Genomic DNA, 22708 nt, shown 5'->3' with positions numbered 1-22708 from the left:
GGAAAAAAATTGCAAAACAATGAAAAATAATATGCCTTTCTTTGCATACTAACACATGAGAATTCATTTTCCACTTCAACCTCAGTATAAAAAAGTACAGCATATAGCAAGGAGAGAATGTATATGAAGAGGAGTGAATTTGAGCTGTTTTGAGAATAATGACCTTTTCTATTTCTATAAAGACAGTTTTGAATTCATCTATTAGCATATGCTGGTGCTTGCCTGTTGACACTAGTCACTGAATTTAAAGGCAGAAAATGTTATTGCACATTTAGTAATCAAGTGTTCATCGAAGTTAACATCTGGATGTTAAAGGACTCAGAACAAGTGTTACTAAGCCTGCATTTTTTTATCTGTTCAAACATGATGTGTTTTCTGCTCATCATTTCATCAATTCTGGTAGTGTTTGCATTTGTTCTTGGAAATGTTGCCAATGGCTTCATAGCCCTAGTAAATGTCATTGACTGGGTTAACACACGAAAGATCTCCTCAGCTGAGCAAATTCTCACTGCTCTGGTGGTCTCCAGAATTGGTTTACTCTGGGTCATGTTATTCCTTTGGTATGCAACTGTGTTTAATTCTGCTTTATATGGTTTAGAAGTAAGAATTGTTGCTTCTAATGCCTGGGCTGTAACGAACCATTTCAGCATGTGGCTTGCTGCTAGCCTCAGCATATTTTGTTTGCTCAAGATTGCCAATTTCTCCAACCTTATTTCTCTCCACCTAAAGAAGAGAATTAAGAGTGTTGTTCTGGTGATACTGTTGGGGCCCTTGGTATTTCTGATTTGTAATCTTGCTGTGATAACCATGGATGAGAGAGTGTGGACAAAAGAATATGAAGGAAATGTGACTTGGAAGATCAAATTGAGGAATGCAATACACCTTTCAAGCTTGACTGTAACTACTCTAGCAAACCTCATACCCTTTACTCTGAGCCTAATATGTTTTCTGCTGTTAATCTGTTCTCTTTGTAAACATCTCAAGAAGATGCGGCTCCATAGCAAAGGATCTCAAGATCCCAGCACCAAGGTCCATATAAAAGCTTTGCAAACTGTGACCTCCTTCCTCATGTTATTTGCCATTTACTTTCTGTGTATAATCACATCAACTTGGAATCTTAGGACACAGCAGAGCAAACTTGTACTCCTGCTTTGCCAAACTGTTGCAATCATGTATCCTTCATTCCACTCATTCATCCTGATTATGGGAAGTAGGAAGCTAAAACAGACCTTTCTTTCAGTTTTGTGGCAGATGACACGCTGAGTGAAAGAAGAGAAACCCTCAACTCCATAGATTCACAAGGGGAGCATCGTGGGTCTTCTAGCAGAAAACAAACTGATGGTGTCTGGAACATTTTATATTTCTATCAGTTTTTCCATAGTGTTTGTATGTGAGTAATTTCAAAACAGATACCTAGAAAAGTCATATATATATTTATGGGTGTATATGTGTGCATGTGTGTGAATAACAACGTTGACCATAAATTATGAAGCTGAGTATATTTCACATATATAGTATTTATATTTTATTATAGTTCATTGTATAGTATTTCATTTGAAGAATTTATTATCTCTCTTTATAATTAAGAACGTACAGCTTTTATGAAGAAATCATTTCTCTTTTCCATTGTAATTTGTACCACATATATGTGCTTAACTATCATTGGTGAACCTCTAATTTTTTGGATGGTAAAGACATTCAATTTTAAATCAATGATAAGAATGGATCTTTGGGGTAGGTTTTATTTCATTATGAATTCTTATTTTATGCTTAGTAGAAAGCAAATAGAATTGTTGTTAGTTAATGATGCACACAATAAAATTGGAGTGAAAAACATATGTAGAGTAAATTTTGTATATGTATACCAAAACAGTACTAAAGAATACTAGATTTAATACCAGTATGTGAATAGCCTAGAATAAAAATCATTTCTATAATAGGAATGAAGAAACATGCTGATGATCATTTCAGTGCTGTTATAATTTTTTTATCTGTAGTTAGAAAAGTCATTGCTTCCACTTTTTGAATTAAAGGAAACCTTTTGTGAAGTTGACATCTGATGTCAAGTATTTCCATTTGTTTTTCTTAGCCACCTTGAGCCCCTGAATTTCCAATTTTCTCCTTTGTCTCCCATTCCTAATATTCCTCAAAAAAACTCAAATATTCTCTATCTTAAAAAAACAGGCCAATCAAAGGAGGGTATAGAAACTATAGAAGATAATCAAATGAAACTTTCCTCAAATGTTAAAAATTATGTAAAAATTACATAAAAATCTGTGAAATCTATATAATTGATAGGAAATGTATTAATGATATGTATTATTATAATGGTGTAAATGGTGAAATTACACAGTGTGTTGATGTATCCATTGATACCAAGTTCTATTATAAGAAGGAAATGTACAGCCTTGTTGAAGAGCTAAATTCTGTGTGACTGTGTTAATTCTTGGTGTTATGAAATTTTAACATTATTATGTAGAACTTAAAATAAGTTAACTCCACATCATATATATATCTATGTATCTATATCTATATCTATAGACATATATATATATATATATATATATATATCGCTTATCATACGTCCTCCCTAGTACAATGTAATCACCATAAAAAGAGAGGTCATATCTGTCTCGCTTTCTCTTGACTCACAGGACCTAAAAGCCAGCACAAAGAATAGTTGGTCAAAAATGATATGTTAATGAACACATAAGTGATTGGATAAATGGATAATTTGATGTGGTAAATCAGTGAAAATGAAGCTCATCATAAAATCTGCAGTTGCTTGAATTTTCTATTTTCAGGTTGAGGTTATAGGCTTTTTGAAGAAGAAGCATTTCTCAGAGCAAAAGTTTGGCTAGTCCACAATTCTAGGGGAAATATCACTGTAATATAGCTTTGATGCAGCTATATCAGGTGTGTGAAGTAGAGACAAGGTGGAACGTCAAAATTAGATGGCACTTATTCTAATGCTTTTTGAAAAGCATATTAAAGATTTTGGTATATTTGCACAGGGTCAGGGTCACCTGTGAGTGCCAGCTGCTCGGGGCTAGCAGACCCCATGACAAGAATGTTAGGGAACTTCCCAGCAGCTGCCAAACACACTTTTGTTTTTAGGGAACGTCTCTTTCTCCTTCAGTATGACTTATGCTGCCTTCAATGCTTTGCTGATACAAAAGAAGTAAACTCAAAAGAAGTAAAAATAAAAGCTAGCAAACTTTGCAACTGATTAAGTTGGTTGGAAATGTACCTAATCACTTTCTACTATGAATGATATATTTGTATTATGATATTTTCTAGCTGGTTATCATATACACAAAAAGGCATTTCATTTTTAAAAATTGAGTTTGTAACCAGTCACCTTTCTTACACATTATTTGTATATTTTTTTAGTATCCTTTCTAAATGAATGTTTTAATTGCCATGTTATAAACGCATGGAAAAGTGATGCAACTGAATGTATATCTTAGCTTTTGGTGTCTAAAACTAGAGCCAATGTCTGAGTTTACAGTGATGACATTTATTTGGGAAGGCAAGTCCAGGGCAGCAATGAGGGGTAAATGTGGAAACTGAGGCAAAAGAAGATGTAAAACCATGTGTCGTGATGTTGATATGATTTTGCTGGTGGCCACTTCACAATTAGTGAGACAGACAGCATGGTGGTCATCAGATGCATGCACTTGGCTCTCCATACTTTTCCAGAAGGGTTACAAGGGGAAGCCACAACAAATATTAGTCCGTGGAAGAGAGAAAAGGGAGAATGTATCCTAGCTGTCTTCTGTCTTCTATTTCCCTTTGGCCAAAGTTTGTTTGAGGCAGAACTACCATCTTTGCTTTTCTTCCTTACATTATCCAACCCCTTGGTGGCTGTTTGGGAAAGTCACACTAACCAATACCCCCATTTTTCTAAGAGATAGTTTTTTTTTAATTTATTTTTTCTCTTTTCCTCTCCCCTTTCCCTATGTTTCCCCGCTTTCTACTTAACTTTTTAGACATGCACATAGAACTGTTTACTTTCCCCCCACCAGACAGTCCCTTCGGGCGAGTTCATCTAACTATGTGCTCCACGAGGGATCTCTCCTTGAGACTTGACAGTTGATTTGCAGACAAAAGTATGCCCTCATGGAACTCTCACCTCCAGGGGTTCCCCTTAGACCTCACATCCATTAGGAGGGGATGTGGAAAGGATGCCCACGTGGCCACTTTTACAACTGCTGTCCTGCTCATTTCCTTCCCTACTTTATAAAACGTTCACTTTCTGCTCCAAAGATGAAGTGTCACGTTGGAAGGCAGGATGCTTTGTGCCCCTTCCAGCAAGCTAACTTCCAAATAAATTCTCTATTTTTATATCAGACCTTGTTCTTGTTAATTAGACTTTACATGAAGTGAGCAACTAAGCTTTTCTGTTACAAGACTTCATGCCCACAGATACATTCAAGTCCCAGGTGGAAGGATGATCTAGATCAGGCAAGGTGCTGACCATGGGAACAGGAGACAGTCAAGGGAATCTGAGGAAGCACATGTTTGTGTCCAATATAGTCCCCTCCTTGTGCCACTCAGATGTGCTCATGCCCTCCAACTGTGGCTGGTTTTATAAGCAGATGCCTTGTGTAGTTGCACGGGGTCTTGTGCTTGAGGGGCTTTTTGCTTGGATTAATGTTCTGCACTTGCATTTTTATTTTTCAGACAGCGGATAATCCTCCACTGAAGAGGGAATAGTTCTGCAGTAATTCCCTAGGGGTTTGCTTTCTCCTCTCCTACGGGCTTGATGGAGACAGGCACAGAGTCCTATGATGCCCACGTTGCATGCCTCTAGCAGCTTTGAATTCTGCTGGATCATCTGGCACAATGGGCCGAGCAGGTTGGGCCAGACCCTGTATCTGCTGTAGAGATATTATATGTTCTGGATTCCACTTGAAACCAGGAGTCTTTGCATTCATTCTGTAACCCATCTGGTTTTGGCAGAGGCTAGGTAGGTTAACTGAACAGGGATTTAAAAAGGACTTTATTAACACATCAGAGCAATATCCTCTACTGTGGTATTTTTGGACTCCAAAATCCCTAGAGGCTCAATAAACGCCGTGCTTCTCTTTTAGTGATAGGAAGTATATAGGAAGCCATTTACCTTAAACAGGATGTTTCTGCTCGGCATGGTGGTTCACGCCTGTAATACCAGCACTTTGGGAGACCAACGCAGGCAGATCACTGGAGGCCAGGAGTTTGAGACTAGCCTGAGCAACATGGTGAAACCCCATCTCTACTTAAAAAAAAATACAAAAAAATTTAGCCAGGCATGGTGGCCAATGCCCGTAAACCCAGCTACTCAGGAGGCTGAAGGATTTGAATTGATTGAACCCAGGAGGCGAAGTTTGCAGTGAGCCGGGATTGCAACACTGCATTCCGGCCTGGGCAACAGAGCGAGACTCTATCTCAAATATAAATAAATAAATTAATTAATTGATTTTTCAACATGTGGACCAGGAATATGGGACCCCTGAAAACAATATCTGCGTTGGTGTTCTCTAAATATTTTCAGGCATGTCTCTTTCTTCTGATATTTTATTTCTATTTAATGTTTAAGTATTTTACTATAATTAGGTAACTTTCCATTTCCTGGTTATTGTACCAATTACCGTAACATTATTAATATATTAAATTAACATGATGTTTTCCAAAATGTAAATTAAACTGAGAGCAGAAGTGACAAAGCCCTGACATAAAACAGTGAAGCAGTGCTCTTGTTTTTACCACACAAAGGCCAATTGTTTTAATCTGCTGACCCACCCATGGGTGTAAAATAAGAAACATTCACTAAATCAAGAGCCACATGCAAACTGCCAGGAGCTCTGCTCTGCTCAGGGAAGATACCACATCCTAGAGAGCATTTGTAAGTAGTGATTTAAATTTATGGAAATCTGCATTCATTTTATAGTGTATCTGGTTTTGGTAGAGGCCAGATAGGTTAAGTGGATAGGCATATAAAAAGACTACCATCCCCTGCAACTTTCAAGTGTTTTGTCATGGTAGTGATCAATTCCATTCCTTGGAGAATGTGATTATTATTTTTCAATCATTGTTGCCAGTGGAGGAGAATTTCACAGGCTTCCCCTTGGTTCTGCTCTAATAATGTCCCTGACTCTACAGGTCAGGAAGAAAGTGAGAGTCCTGCCAGCTGCCATGTGTGTCCATTACACATTCAAGAAGAGGCAATAACGGCAAACTGATTAGATCCACCTTGGGATGGACATGAGTCAAAACTCTAGGTAGCATCTGACCTTCAAAACTCCCTCTGCAGGCTGGGTATGATGGCTCATGCCCGCAGTCCCCGCACTTTTGGAGGCGGAGGTGGGAATATCTCTTGAGGCCCAGAGTTGCAGACCACCTTGGGCTACACAGTGACAGCCTGTCTGTACAAAAACTAAAAAACAGAAAAAACAACAACAAAAAATTAGTTTGGCATGGTGGTACTCACCTGTAGTCCCAGTTACCCAGAAAGATGAGACAGGAGACTCCTTTGGACCTATAACCAATATGCGAGTCCGTTGCTGGCCGCATGCAGTGTCCAGTTAACAAAAGTGAGGTCTGGTACAAAAGTAATGAATTTATTCCAAACCTAGCTTGGGGAAGGAGCACAAAGTGTCTTGCCTTTAAGTGTACCACTTCACCTTTGGAGCAGAAAGCAGACACTTTTATAAGGTAAGGAGGGATACTGAGCAAGGGTAGAGGGTCCTCATGCAGGCTTGGTGCCTTATCTATCAGACAGTTGAATTGGTGCCTTCCTGTGCAGAAGTAACTTGTAAAAGTGGCCAAGTGGGTATGCTTTCAATATGCCCTTCTGTTGGGTGAAAGTCCTCAGGCAACTCCCAGAGTGGAGCACAGTCTGGAAGTTCCAAGTCCATTTCCTGGAGGTAAACATTCCTTGGTGGGTGTGCTTTGGTCTGCAAATTGACTGTCAATTCTCAGAAGAGATCTGTCTTGCTGCACATAGTTAGAAGAACGTGCCCTGCAGGGAATGTCTAGTGAGTGGGGGTGAAAGGTTATATTTGCATTTATGAAGGGCTAAGCAGGAAACAGGGAACAAAAGGAAAGGGGAGATAAGAGAAAATAATAATAAAAAAATAGTAACTCATTCCCTGTTTCTTAGAAAAAATGGGGCACTCTGTTACAAACCCAGGAATTCAAGGCTGTAGTGAGTTATGATTTGCCACTGTACTACATACCTCCTAAGTGAAGGATTGAGACTGTGTATCTAAAAAACCCAAATGCAAATAACACACACACAAAAAGAAAATTTTAAAAAATCTCCCACTTCATCTCATGGACTGCAGTGTCTTTTGAGTACCCAGATATTACTGTTAGTTCAGGCTCTGTTGGAGTGGCCAATATCTGGTTTACTGGAGGCAATTTGGTACGAGTCTGCAGCAACTTCAAGTCTAACCTCCTCAGAAGAAAGAATTCAACTGAGGGGCATAAGGCGGAAAAAGAGACTGAGGGAAGTTTCTGAGCAGCAATGGAAGTTTATTAAAAAGATTTAGAGCAGGAAAGAAAGGAAAGTACACTTGGAAGAGACCACAGTGGGCATTTTGGAGGTCAAGTGCAGTGTTAGACCTTTGACTTGTGGTTTTATATGTTGGTATACTTCTGGGGTCTTGTGTTCCTTTTCCCACGATTCTTCCCTTAGGGTCTTGTGTTCCTTTTCCCATGATTCAGCCCCTTAGGGTGGGCTGCTCACATGTGTGGTGGCCTGCTAACACTTTGGAGGTGAGCATGCGCAGTGTGTTTACTGGAGTTGTACACATGCTTGCATGAGGCATTCTTCCCTTTTTTGGTGGAATGCCCCCAGAAGGTTGTTTTCTACCCTTTTCTCTCTTAACACGTATGCCTCAGCCTACTCGCCCTATTCCTGAGCTGCTGACTAGCAATTTTAAGCATCTTTACTTATTGTGAAATTGCCTCTCCCTGGTGCCTGTGAGCAATTATCATTTTTAGAGAGGCAGTGTGACAACTGCCAGGCCATCACCTGATGGCCACCTGACATTCCTGGTGGGTGGTGAGAGCCTTCTTCTGCCCCGCTCATGCCTGACTAACTATCTACTGTAAGAGCCCTATACCTAAAAGTCTCAGATGGTGTGGATGTGTGTCCTTTCCTCTGGGTACTGTTATCTGGGAAATGGCTACAGGTCTTTGAGAAAGCACCGTATGAATACGTCCTGAATATTCTTGTGGTGAATTTTCAGCATCCTTTTCAAGGGGACTTACACTTTCCTTCAATTATTGAATTCTTGTTCTCGGAATTGGCTCAGTCCTGACAACAGGTTGAGGTTCTTTGATTTTCCACTTCAAAGGCTGACCTCAGGAATCAGTTTTTCAGCCTTTGAAGTGAAAAGGCTTGCTCTTGGTTTATAAGTATTTTTCAAAGTATGAAGCCTCTTTAACTATTGGCTTATGAACTCATTCCAAGAAGCTGATGCTGTCATCAGTTCATTGATTCTGACATTTGCAAGATCACCAGAGAGTCTATGTTCCCAAGGTTAGTCATCATGTTGCATGCTCTATTAGCTGCATTGAACTTAGTTTATTTAGATTTCAGGATGCTGCCCTCTCCTGATTTTATCCTTATCCACTGGGCACTACTTCTCAATCTCCTTTGCTAGTTCTCTTTTGTCTCTAAACTGAAAATATCAGACTGCCCAAGGTCTCAATTCTTCAATCTCTACAATGATGCCTGTTGTGTTGGTGATCTCATGTAATCTCTTTACTGACAATGTAGCCAAGTGATTCAACAGACAGGAATAAGGCTGATTATCCATTTATATTATTTATTTATTCACGCATGTTGGCATATAGCACATTATGTAAATATTTTTCCTTCAAATGTCAAATGTACATTTTGAAGTAACAGTACCAGGGTGGATGCTGTGGCTTAAGCCTGTAATTGAGCACCTTGGGAGGCTTAGGCAGGCAGATTTCTTGAGCCCAATTATTGGAGACCAACCTGGGAAACATGGTGAAACCCAGTCTCTAGTAAAAATACAACAATTAGCCAGGTATAGTGGTGTCCACCTGTAGTCCTAGCTACTTGGGAGGCCAAGGTGGGAAACAGATTGAGGCTGGGAGCTATAGATTGCAGTTAGCCAATCTCAAACCACTGCACTCCAGTTTAGGCTCCAGAGTGAGACCATGTCTCAAAAAATAAAAATCTAGGGAGAATCAATAATATTTTTGCTTGAATTTCCACTAAATGAGATTGAGGGTAGCCCAGCATCTAATTTAGTTTTATTTAAAATAGTAATTTTAATATCAATAGATTGATAGGCAGGGGATTATTATTATTATAGACATAATGATCTAAGTAGAGAAATACACAGATAGAATTATGGTTGATTAACCCACTTGTATTACTTGCAATTGTACAGTTAGTATGTTTTAGTATCTTAGTTACTAATCTCACTTTTTACATTTAGCTCTATAATCAATTAAATATGAGTTATTTTTTGTGTATGGTGTGAAATAAGAATAGAAATTTATCTTTATGCATGTGGATATTCAATGTTCTCAGTATCATTTGTTGAAAAAATGATTAATTCCTATTGAACTGCAGTGGTACCATTTTTGAAATCAATTACCATCAATGTCAGTGTTAATTTCTGGACTCTCAGTTGTGTTTCATTGTTCTTTTGTCTACTGTAATGCCAGTACCACAGAATTCTGATTAGTGCAGCTTTGTAGTTAGCTTTGAAACCAGAAAGTGTAATCCTCCAAATGTGTTATTTTATCAAGATTTATTTTGGTGATCTGGTCACTGGGTATTTTCAGATATATTTTAGGACTGGTTTTTCACTTTTTGCAAAACAGGCTTGTTGGGATTTGATAGGGATTGCACTGAGTATATAAGTTGACCCTTCACCTGCAAAGACTCTCCTTGTGCTGGATTTCAGTTCAGCTGGCCCTCCTTGCTTGTACAACTCTGTGATGAATTGAATATATAATTTTTGCCTTTTATTACTCTTATCCTAGTTGTTGCAGAAGGATATCTTGCCTTTCTGAACCTTCTGTATTCTGCTCAAAAATGGAAGTTCTCAGCTAGGTGCAGTTCACGCCTGTATCCAAGCATTTTGGGAGACCAAGGTGGGAAGATCGTATGAGCCCATGTTTTCAAGACCATACTGGGCAACATAGGGAGACCCCATTTCTACAAAAAAACTGAAAAATTAGCTGGCTGTGTTGGTGCACGCCCATAGTCACAGCTACTCCAGAAGCTGAGGTGGGAGGATCTCTTGAGCCCAGGAGTACAAAGCTGTAGTGAACTACCACTGCACTCCAGCCTAGGCGACAGAGCAACATCCTTTCTCAAAACAAAAAAGGAAAAGTGGAAGTTTTCACTGGTATCTTTTAAGTATCAAGTAACACAGAATCGAAAGAATAACTAATAATCCTCGGTTCCTGCCTGCACTGAACATGTAAAATTGAAAGCAGTTATACATATACTATACTAGCACCTCATAAGGACTACCCAGAGTATTATTATCATCTGCGTTTTATACATAATTATACTGAGGTAGAGAGAATTCGTAAAATGGAGTCTCAGATCATAGCTATATAAAGCAGAAAATCTGGCTTCCTGTCCTGGCAGACTGACTCCAAGATCTTCTCCTAGAAACAATTATACTATAACAACTGGAAAGAAATAATATCCAATATTGAAGACCGATTTTTAACATCTATTCATCTTAAACCATTAAATAATAAAAAATACATTAGAGAAAAATAAAAGTGAAAATTCACATACAGAGAAGTGTAGGCTCTTCAATGGAATACACATGTTTTTTAAGTGCCCAAGGAATATTTACAAAATTGCTAAATATTTTAATTAAACAATTCATATTTAAATATTAACTAGACTCAAGAAAATGACTTACTCAAAAGCCTAAGCATGAGACACAAGTTTATAAATATTGAAAATGGGCTGAAAACATGATTGGGAAATTAGGGCTATTTCAACTTGGATGACCTGCCTGAAATTCATTTTCCATTTTGGAAATTACAGGACAATAATTCCTCCCATCCATGAGGAGCATGTATGTGTGTGGGCACATAAGTTTGTGTTAATGAGCTTGTTAAGAATAAAGTTATACAAAAGTATTAGTTAGCAGCAACCAGATTTTAAGGAATGTTGGCCTTCCTGGGCTTCCCAAGAAAACCTTGGAGTCTTTTAATAAGAAAACTTTGGATTCTGTCTACATAAATCTGACATTGAAAAAATAAATTCACAGTGGTCATGATTCTGGTTATGACCAAGTTCCATATGACAGTTTAGACATCCAATGTAGGAATTATGAGTTGGGTTTTAAAATTTCCATAACAACTGACATTGCTGAACACAAATTATGGAGAGGTTAAACAAGGAAAAATATTGCAAAACAATGAAGGAAAATATGTCTGTATTTGCATGCTAGCAAATGAGAATTCACCTTTCACTTCAACAACAGCATGAAAAATTTCATCTTATAGCCAGGACATAGTGTTTGAATAGAAATTTAATTGAGCTGTTTTGGGAATTATTGTGTTCTCCATAAAGACAGCCTCAAACTCATCCATTAGCACACCCTGGTGCTTTCCTGTTTGACACTGGTCAGAGAATGTAAAAGGAAAAAGAACATTACTGCACATTCAGAAATCAGGTGCACATAGAATTTAAGGTCAGGACCTTACAGAGAATCTTGTCCAGTGATAATACGCCTGCCTTAAAAAAATTCAGACATGGTAGGTTTATTACCAATCTTTTTTTGTGCTAGTAATGGTAGAATTTATTTTTTCCTGTGGACACCTACGTTAAACTTATAGACTACTTTTACATTTTAACATTTTTTTCCTTTGAGTTCTTTTAGGAGTTGTTAAACAATCCTGAAATTTCCCTTACAATATGCTACAAACTAATCATAATTTCTCAAATTCATTTGACATAATGATTGATTAAAGAAATATGTGTAGTATAATTACACCTGCTCATAACAAGAGTATTTGAAACTTCAAGAAAAAATAGAGAAATTAATAAAGAAATATGAATAAATATATGGAATATATAATTCATTCTTAATAAATGTGCATGAAATCAGTCATGTAATTAAAAAGCAACATAATTTTTTGAACTAAAAATACATTCTGAATTATAATAGAAAAATGTTTCTAAAATGTTAACTTTAATAATAGTGTATGTAAATATCAGTGTAAAATTTAATCTGATGTTACTAATTTTGGAAAGGATATGACACAATAGAAATTTTCATACACTACTCTTAGGATTATAAAGTACAATTACTTTGGCTGAATATGGCATTACCTGATTAAGGCGAAGTATTTTTTATTGTACCACACTTTAGAATGTGGTAAAATGAAACAATATCAAGTAAATCATTGGGAATATGTTGGTTTTAAGTTATTCTTGATGAAATATTACCTGAGGGTGTTTGTCTAGACCTGATACTGAGAATAATATAAGAATTATAAGGCCATGAAGAAAAATTAAAATAGTGTTCTCCCATTGCCCTGAATTCCAGCACTTAGGAAACATGATTGAAGTCACATTTACAGAATAAAATAGTCCCTTTTAGCTGACATCAACATCATCATCAATCATCTACACCTATCTCATTAAATGATTTATTTTTCATTGTACATGATTTTGATAATGTCTAAGACATTTTTAAAAGATTATCATTTTGGGAAATTTGCATTAGTAAAAGCAAAGCTCAAGTCAAGCTGAATACATTTAGATTTAGAAATTAAGTGAAGTTTAGTTTAAAATGCATTGCTTAAGCAAGTAATTGTAGATGACCTTAAACTAATCCATTGAAGGCTATAAGAAAGAGTTTGATTTTAGTGTAAATAAAATTCCTTAATTAGAAAGGCAATTAAACTGTTTCATGATCAAGCTCTTATTCCTAAAGAGAGGATTTTAGATTAAATAAATCAAACAGAAGTAAGCCCTCACATCTTCTCTATCTCGCTTGGGTAATGATGGAGTTCAAAGTCACAGAGCCCCATTTCTACAACATAAACAAAGTAAAAATTAGTTCATAAAATAGAATGATGTAGTTGTGGTTTAGGGACTATTTTTTATTTATTGGAATTGCATTTTGAGATCCAAAGCTGCTTATTGAATTTCCATATGAGGAGAGTTTGTGTGAGGACCCAGCAACAGACAAGCTGTTTTCCAGAAAAAGCTACTCACATCAAATTAATATCCGGTTTCTTTAAAATTGCAGGAACATGGCTAGACCAAGCTTTTATTCTATTATCTGACCAGAGTTGGGAATAGAAGAAAATTGTTACTATTTTCATGGCTAGAGTACTAACAACTCCAGAAAAATACAAGGCTGGAGGGTAAGAGACACTGACGCTATGGTCAGAATATCTAACATACTTCTGGAGTTCTGGAGGATTAGAGATGAGAAATGGGGCAAAAGCAATGTTTGGGAAATTTTTCCAAAAATGATGAAATGTATATATTTCCATCTCTATATATTTAGGAGCCATCAAATTTTGGACAAGATAACTAAAAAATTTAAAATAAAATGACACAGGACATCAAAGACCAATAGAAAATCTGAAAAGTAGCTAGAGGTGAAAGGTAGATTATGTTAAAAAGAGCCACATTCTAAATAACAAACTGATTTTCAACAGAAAATATGAAAGCGGGAATTCAATGGAATCATATCTTCAGTGTGTTTCCAAGGAACAGTAGACTTTTATAGACAGAAATTAAAAATGATATTTTTTCAGATAAAATATAAACTACCAAAAATACAAAATTGAGCATGCAAGAAGGAATAAAAATTAATGAAAATGATAAATATGTACATAATTATAAGTGAATGTTTACCATCTAAAATAATAGTATCTTCTTGTTGGACTAAAGGTGTAATTGATAAGATATATGCAAATAGTAATAAAGAGACTGGAGTTACAGAAATAAATTTAGTTAAAGTATTTTTTGGACTTTTCTATGTCTGTGGGCAGAATTTGTACATCTTAATCAAGGACCCTATAATTCTATACCTAGGCATATATGCAAAGGAATTGTAGCAAATGTATATGAAAGAATGCTCATAGTAGCATTATTCATAATAGTTCATAAAAGAAGCTGTCCAAGTATATATCAACTAAGGATAGATAATTATAGTAAATTCATAAAATTAAACAATATAGAGAAATGAAAAGAAATAAATCACATGTACATGCATCTGTCTGATTAAATTTCAGATTCATAATGTTAAGTCCAGGAAGCCATGAATAAGAACATATAGGATTGCACCTATACACAGTTCAAAGCAGGCCAAACCAAGCTATTGAGTTTAGGGTTGCATACCTTGTTGATAAAGTATAAAGAAAATCAAGGAAATGATCATCACAAATAATGGATATTGCTTACCTCAGGAGATATGAAGAAAGGTATAGAGGCTTGGAAAGTGTCATGGAGGTGGAACTAGGCTGTTTGCAGTGTTCCTTGTCTTGCCCTACATGATGGTTACTCGACTGTTTATGATACATTGCTCTATTTCCCAGTTTTCCAGTTTTGTTTTGGCACATTTCTATGTATGCATTATAATTTTAATATAAAAATTTTGAATTAGGAGAAATGTCTCATAGAAATTATTAATCTTCTCATTACGTACTAAGGGGAAAAGAAACTACTTATATGCATTCTTATACAACTCTAGAGAGTTGAAGTAGAAACTTTCTTATTTTAGTTACAACTTGTAGAAATTTGACATCATGTCACCTGCCAACCCCGTATTTTTCCGTAGCTTTATTTCAGTTTTTTTCTTTCAGCTTTAATTATGCACCTCACATGACAAAACTTTGATATTCCTCATCTATTTTTCCCTTGGCTTCAGGATTCTTGACACAACAAGGGTAGACATATTTCCCACTCTCTTGGCTTAGCAAAGTATTTCTATCATTTAGCATCATTTTAAAAAGAAACTTCTCCAAAACTACATTAGATATTTATATCTCACATGTCTTTAGATTCCATTTTCCTAAGCTGGGTTTGGGTGGATCACTCTGGTAATTTGAGATGGGCCATGTTCTGCATCTTGAAGTTAGAGTTTGGCCAATTTAGGCTACATCTGGAGGGGGTGATCTCATTCTCATTCTGCTTCTGGGAATGGTGTACTAGTGTGGGGATGTGCTTGTGGTAAATGGAGAAGAGCAAGAAACTCCAATGTGGAAGCCATCTCAAAGACGTATACAAAATTTACTAATTTCCAGTTCATCAAAGCAAATTACATGAGTGAGCTCAGATTCCAAGGTCAAGGTAGTCACCCTGCCTATGGCAGGAGGACACTGCAAGATAATATATCAAAGGATGAGGGAGTCAAGAGTATTTACAAAACAGCTGAATAGTTTAATTAAATAATTAATATTTAAACATTAAATAGACTTGAGAGTAACTTTACCAAAGGCCTAAGCATGAGAAATATGTTTGATAAATATTATTCTGGTCTGAAAACCCTGAGTGGGAAAACAGAACTAATTCCACCTGGATGACCTTCTGGAAACTCATTTTTTCATTTTTTTAAATTAAAAGAAAATAATTCCTTCCAACCCCAATGGGTTTAAGTGTGTGTTTTTGTGTTTATGAGCTTGTTAACAATAAAGTCATATAAAAGTATTGGTTAGCAGCAACCTGATTTTAAGGCGTATTGGCCTTCTTGTGGTTCCCAAGAAAACCTTGGATGATTTTGATAAAAGGTTTGGGTTCTGTATATTTAAATCTAGCATTAAAAAATAAATCCATATTTATACGATCCTAGGTATGACCAAGCTCTTTTAACAGTTTAGACATTTACTGTATGACATATGTATTGGGTTTTAAAATTTCCCTATGAAACAACTGAAAATGCTGAATACAAATTATGGAGAGGTTAAACAAGGAAAAACATTGCAAAACAATGAAAAAGAATATGTCTTTTTTTGCATACTAGCAAACGGGAATTCACCTTTCACTTCAACATCAGTTTTAAAAATTTCAGCGTATAGCAAGAACAGACAGTGGAATAGGATTCAATTTCAGCTATTTTGGGAATAAGAAAATTTTCCATAAATGCAGCATTGAACTCATCCATTAGCATATGCTGGTGCTTTTCTGTTGACATTAGTCAAATAATTTAGAAGCACAAAGAATATTATTACACATTTAGGAATGAAGTGTATATCCAATTTAAGGTCTAGATATTAAAGGAATCACAATCTGTGTTATTAGGCCTGCATTTTTCCTTTCTTTTTGTCTCTTCAGACATGTTAAAATTTCTACTTATCATTTTGTCAACTCTGTGTGTTTGCATTCGTTCTTGGAAATTTGTCTCCACAAAAATGTTAAAATTAGCAGGCTTGGTGGTGCATGCCTGTAGTTCCAGTTACTTGGCAAGCTGAGGCAGGAAGGCAAGAGTATCACTTGTGTCCAGGAGTTCAAGACTACGGCGAGGTATGATTGTGCCACTGCACTCCAGCTTGGGTGAGAGAGCAAGAGCCTGTCTCAGAAAAAAAAAAAAAAAAAAAGAAAAGGAGAAAAGAAATGGAAGTTTTCACTGGCACCTTCTAAATATCTAGTAACACAGGATCAAATCAGTAACTAACCATCTTTGTTTTTTCCTGTCCCAGACAGGTAAAATGGAAAGCAGTTATACAAATGCTATACTAACTCCTCACAAAGACTACCCAAAGATAATATTATCATCTGTGTTTTTTGGTGATCATACTGAGGCAGAGAGCAGTTGTGAAATGGAGTCTCAGAATCGTCGGTATATGAAGCAGAAAAACTGGTTTCCTCTCTTGGCAGTCTGACTCCAAGATCTCTTAGAAACAATTATACTGTAAAAACCTGAAAAAGAAGTAAAAAACAAGATTGGAGACTAATACTAACATCTATTCTTCTTAATAGCATAATCAAAAATAAATTAAACAGAAAAATAAAAGTGAATATTCATACCAAGGGAAGTCTAGAGTCTTCAGTGGAAAATACATATTTTTTAATAAGTGCCCAAGGAATATTTTAAAAATTGCTGAATATTTTAATTAAACAATTCATATTTAAATATTAGCTAGATTCGAGAGAATAACTTATTCAAAAGCTTAAGCACGAGAGATAAGTTTATAAATATTGAAAATTGACTGAAAAGGGTGAGAGGGAAAATAGGGCTATTTCAACCTGGACGACTTGCCTGAAATTGGTTTTCCATTTTGGAAATTACAGCACAATAATTCCTCCCATCCATGAGGGGCGTGTATGCATGTGTGTGTTTGTGTTAATGAGCTTGTTAACAATAGACTTATACAAACATATTAGCAGCAAGCAGATTTTAAAGAGTATTGGCCTTTTTGCACTTTCCAAGAAAACCTTGGATTCTTTTGATAAGAAAACTTTGGATTCTGTTTACATAAATCTGACATTTAAAAAATCAATCCACAGTGGTCATGATTCTAGTTACAACAAAGTTCCTTTTAACAATTTAGATATCCAATGTAGGAACTATGTGTTGCTTTTTAAAATTTCCCTAACAACTGACATTGCTGAACACAAATTATGGAGAGGTTAAACAAGGAAAAGTACTACAAAACAAGGAAACAGAATATGTCTTTATTTGCATGCTAGCAAATGAGAACTCATTTTTCACTTCAACATCAGTATGAAAAATTTCATCTTATAGCCAGGACATAGTGTTTGAATAGAAGTTAATTTGAACTGTTTTAGAAATTATCATGTTTTCCATAAAGACAGCATTGAATTCATTCATTAGCATGCCCTGGTGCTTTCCTGTTTGACACTGGTCAGAGAATTTAAAAAGAACAAGAGCGTTAATGCACATTCAGAAATCAGGTGCACATAGAATTTAATGTCAGGACCTTAAAGGGAATCTTATCCAATGATATTAGGCCTGCCTTAAAAAGAATTCAGACATGATATGTTGATACCAATCATGTTTTCCATACTGGTAATGGTAGAATTTGTGTTTTACCATGGACAGCTATTATTAAACTTATAGACTATTTTTATATTTTAATATTTTTTCTTTGTTTCCTTTTAGGAGTTGTTAAACAATCCTGAAATTTCCCCTACAATATGCCATGAACTAATCATATTTTCTCAAAGTCATTTGACGTAATGATTGATTAAAGGAAATATCTCCAGTATAATTACACTTGTTCATAACAAAAAAGTATTTGAAACTTCAAGAAAAAATTAGAAAAATTAATAATGAAATATGAACAAATAAATGTATGAAATATATAATTAATCCCTAATAAATGTGCATGAAATTATAGTCATAGAATTAAGAGTGATGTAATTTTTCAACTAAAGATGCATTCTGAATTATAATAGAAAAAGGTTTGTAAAATGTTAAGTTTAATAATATTTTATTTATTTTTGAGACAGTCTCACTTCGTGGTCTAGGTTGGAGTGCAGTGGTGTGATCTCAGCTCACCGCAACCTCCGCCTCCGGGTTCACTCAATTCTCCTGCCTCAGCCTCCTGAATAGCTGGGATTACAGGTGTGCATCACCACACCAGGCTAATTTTTGTATTTTTAGTATTTTTTGTATTTTAGTATTTTTTCACCATCTTGGCCAGGCTGGCCTTGAACTCCATACCTGAGGTTATTCACCCACCTTGGCTTCCCAAAGTGCTGGGATTACAGGCGTGAGCCACCGTGCCTGGCCAAGTTTAATTATATTTTATATAAATATGAAAGTGCAAAAATTACTCTACTAATTTTGGAGAGCATATGAAGCAGTGGGAATTTTCATACACTGCTCCTAGGATTATAAATCAGTGCAATTACTTTGTCTGAGTGTGACATTATTTGAATAAGATGAAGGATCACATCCTAAGACCCAGGATTTGCACTCATATCAGAATACATATACAAGTATATATCGCTGAGTTTTAATAGCTAAAGTTGAGAAGTCTCCCAAATGACCATCAGTAATAAAATGGATAAATAAATTATGACATACTTACAGAATGCTATACAGCAATCAAAATGAACAAACTAGAGGGACATGTTTACAAAGAATATATATGAAAAGGAAAGTGAATAAATTTGATTTACATGGATAGCATAGTAATATATACAGATATAATAGTAATTATTAACATCAAAAACATTCAATATAATCACATTTATATGAAATTTGCAAGAATATTTTTGTATTTTTGCAAATAAATTCTTATAATTGCTTATAAAAGAAATTATAAATTCTTATAACTCCTTACCAAAGAAATTATAACATTTTATAAAAGAAATTATAACTTCTCATAAAAGAAATTTTATTTTAAGTTTTTATAATTCTTATAATTTGAAATAAATTCTTATAATTTATTACATTGGTGGCAAAACTGTAAAGCGAAACATATAAGTGATTATCATAACTGGGATACTTGGGAGGGAGGAAACAAAAGGGAAATCATATCAACAAGAAAGCATATATGGGGAATGTCTTCATTGCTGGCAAATTCTACTTTTTGACGAAAGTGTGGAATATGAGTGTTAATGTTACATTCTTTTTTCCTTTTACTGTGCATTTAGGTTTTATTGCTTTCCCTACATATGTTAGGTTCCCGAATAATGAAAATATTTTAAAAGCAGAAATATTAAGTAAATTAATGAATATAAAACTAGGCTGAAACAATATATTCTTACATGTACCATCGTAATTAGAGTTTTGCTGAATAAAGAATACAGCATTATAGTAGTAAGAAATAGGGATAAAATTTTATACTTTTAAAAATTAATTTAAAAAAGAAAGATATAAGCAGGAAGTGTACATCCACATTCTTAATGCTAATCTTAATTTGAAACAATAGATTTTGAACAACTATATTGCAATAGACTTTTTTCTTGTTTCCAATTTAATTATTCATGATACACGTTTCAAATTGGCAGCAATTAGGGAATTTTTCATAAGGTACAAATATTAAAGTATGTAGGACTATAGATATTAAGTGTATAGGACAATTTTTGCTACATTTATCCCTAAATGAAATAATTATACTCATGTTGTTCCCATTCAAAGATCACAATACTATGCATGTGCACAGCATATGTGTTGGGGAAAATATTTTGTTACTATAAATTTTTCAACTGTATTAGAGAAGAAAACATAGAAAGATAACTGTTAAGCTATAAAACATATTTAGTGTAATCTTTGAGTGTGCTTGTGTATATGTAGTATTACTTTGACTGCTATAGTAAAATAACCCAGATTTAGTGACAGTAGCTGAGATTGTAAATAAGCAGTTGAGAGAATTTTGCCTGCTAATGATACTATTAAAAGATAAAATACAGTTTGTATGCTATATAATTGTATAGAGGATTTGTATATATGAAGTTCATATGAAAGTACAGTGAAAATTAAACAGCCCAAAGGAGAATACTCTTTGTTGTAGGGCACTTTTGTCATGATTTTCAGAATGTGGTAAAAGAAAAAAAAATAGCCAGTAAATCATTGGAAATACATTGGTTTTAACTTATTCTTAATGAAATACTGTCTGAGGATCTTTGTCTGTGCCTGATGCTGAGAATAATATAAGAAACAAGTTCATGAGCCCATCACCCTGAAACGCAGCACTTAGAAAACATGATTGAAGTCACATTTATAGAAGAGCATGGCCCCTTTTAACTGACATTATCATCATCACCAATCATCATCTATATCTATCTCATTAAATGATTTATTTTTGAAATGTTTACATAAATAATTTGGATAATGTCTAATAAATGTTTAAAAGATTATTATTATGGGAAAGTTAGATTAGAAAATGGAAAATTTCAAGTTGAACCAAATACATTTTTAAGTATAGTTTAGTTTAAAATACATTGCTTAAGCAAATCATTATAGATAACCTTAAACTGATCTTAGGAACACTATAGGAAAGATTTAGTTGCGGTGTTAATAAAATTCCTTAATTAGAAAGATAAATAAGCCACTTCATGATCAAGCTCTTACTTCTAAAGTGAAGGTTTTATTTTATTTATTTTTTAACCTTTCCACATTTTATTGACAAAGAATTAATAGTATAAATTACGTTTATATTGCAAAGTTTATTTATGGAAATTTGATACGTGTACTTCTACTCCTTTTTACACCTTACATGAATATTTAAATAATTGATTTATAACACTCCCTGATGCCAGGTAAAGTAAAGCCTAATCGCAGTTCAGAAACTCACATGTACAACAAATTTAACTTTCTGGATATTTTTAAAACTCAGCTTAATTTCCCTAGGTGCTCCATTAACCTGATGGCAGAAATTAAATCTTAAGCAACTCTGGGTTCTCCCACAAGCACACTTTGCTTCAGAGTTGTGCTGAAGTTTTGAGGAGGATGGGAGGAGGCAAGGAGGTGTCCAGTCCTTTGTGCATCTATCCCCTGGCATTCTCCCATCCTGCCCCAAGTCATCAGCCCACACAGGTTGCTGGCACATCTAAAGTGAGAATTTTAGGACTAAATAAATCAAATAGAAGTAAGCCCTCACATCTTCTATATCTCACCTGATAGTGAAGAAGTTTGAAGGTACAGAGCTCCACTTCTGCTAATAAAAAAAGAGTAAAATTTAATTTGTAAAATAGAATGGTGTAGCTAGGGTTGAGGTGCTATAATTTATTTATTGGAATGGCATCTTGAGATCCAGCACAGCTCATTGAATTTCCCTGTGGGGAGAGTTTGTGGTGAAGACTCATCAACAGACAAGCTGCTATCCCCCCCTAAAAAAAAAAGCTACTAACATCACATCAATTTCCAGGTTCTTCCAACTTGCGGAAGGATGTGTAGACCAAGCTTTTATTCTATTTTGTGACCAAAGTCTTGGGAAAAGAAGAAAATTGTTAGCATTTTCATGTCAAGCATACGAAAAACAAAAAAACAAAGCCAACCAACTGAACAAAGAACCCAACTTTTTTTAAAAAACTTGGTGGTAAGAGTGCTTTGTTCTGCTTCTCCATAGATAATGATTTATAGAAGGAGAACAAAATATAATTTCTGCTACTAAAACAATAATAGCAAAAAATAAATAATCAATATTGAGAATCCAATAGACAGAGTTAACAACCAGTTAGACATAGAAGAGAGAATTAGTGAATTGGAAGACAACTATAAAGAAAGAAGCCTAAAGAGACCACAAGACAAAGAATGCCAAGCTAAGAGGATAAGAGGCATTGATGCTACAATCAGAGCATCTAACATACTTCTGGATTTCTGGAAGATTAAAAGGGATAAAATAGGGCAGAATCAATGTTGTGGAGATTTTCCCAAAAGTGATAAAATGTATTAATCCATATATTTTTAGTAACCATCAAAGGTCAGACAAGATAACTAAAAACAAATTAACATAAAATGTCACAAGACATCAAAGACCAGTAGAAAATCTGAAAAGTAGCCAGAGGAAAAGATAGATTATTTTAAAAGGAACAACTTTCTAAATGACAACCTGATTTTCAACAGAAAAATGGAAAGTAGAATTCAATGGAATCATGTCTTTAGTGTGTTTCAAAAGAATAGAGGACCTTCATAAACAGAAATCCAAATGATATTTTTCAGATAAAAAATATTGAAAATACAAGGTTAAGCATGCAAGAAGGAATAAAAATTAACAGAAATGATAAATATGTGCATAATTCTAAATGAATGTTGACTGAATAAAATAA

General features: G+C 35.0%; 3 protein-coding genes and 1 long non-coding RNA gene across 6 annotated transcripts in view; all 4 read left to right on the top strand.

The window, feature by feature from the left end:
* PRH1-PRR4 (PRH1-PRR4 readthrough) overlaps nucleotides 1–22708 on the top strand; it is a 325777-nt gene that overhangs the window by 148691 nt on the left and 154378 nt on the right. The window lies entirely within an intron of this gene.
* The window catches only part of PRH1 (proline rich protein HaeIII subfamily 1), a 290647-nt gene that overhangs the window by 148677 nt on the left and 119262 nt on the right, over nucleotides 1–22708 (top strand). The gene's annotated exons all lie outside the window — the stretch shown is intronic.
* PRH1-TAS2R14 (PRH1-TAS2R14 readthrough) overlaps nucleotides 1–22708 on the top strand; it is a 234202-nt gene that overhangs the window by 148677 nt on the left and 62817 nt on the right. The window lies entirely within an intron of this gene.
* Nucleotides 315–1316, top strand: TAS2R19 (taste 2 receptor member 19). Its single transcript, NM_176888.2, has one exon. The coding sequence runs from the start codon at nucleotides 364–366 to the stop codon at nucleotides 1261–1263; it is 900 nt and encodes a 299-aa protein (NP_795369.1). The 5' UTR covers nucleotides 315–363; the 3' UTR covers nucleotides 1264–1316.

This window comes from Homo sapiens, chromosome 12 (genome assembly GCF_000001405.40).
Source record: "Homo sapiens chromosome 12, GRCh38.p14 Primary Assembly".
Taxonomy (NCBI): domain Eukaryota; kingdom Metazoa; phylum Chordata; class Mammalia; order Primates; family Hominidae; genus Homo; species Homo sapiens.
The sequence above is the reverse complement of the archived record's forward strand: the minus strand, read 5'-3'. Positions and strand labels throughout refer to the sequence as shown.

What these genes read in the sequence shown, in the direction of transcription:
- TAS2R19 (NM_176888.2), top strand. Translation starts at nt 364, where the DNA reads ATGATGTGTTTTCTGCTCATCATTTCATCAATTCTGGTAGTGTTTGCA.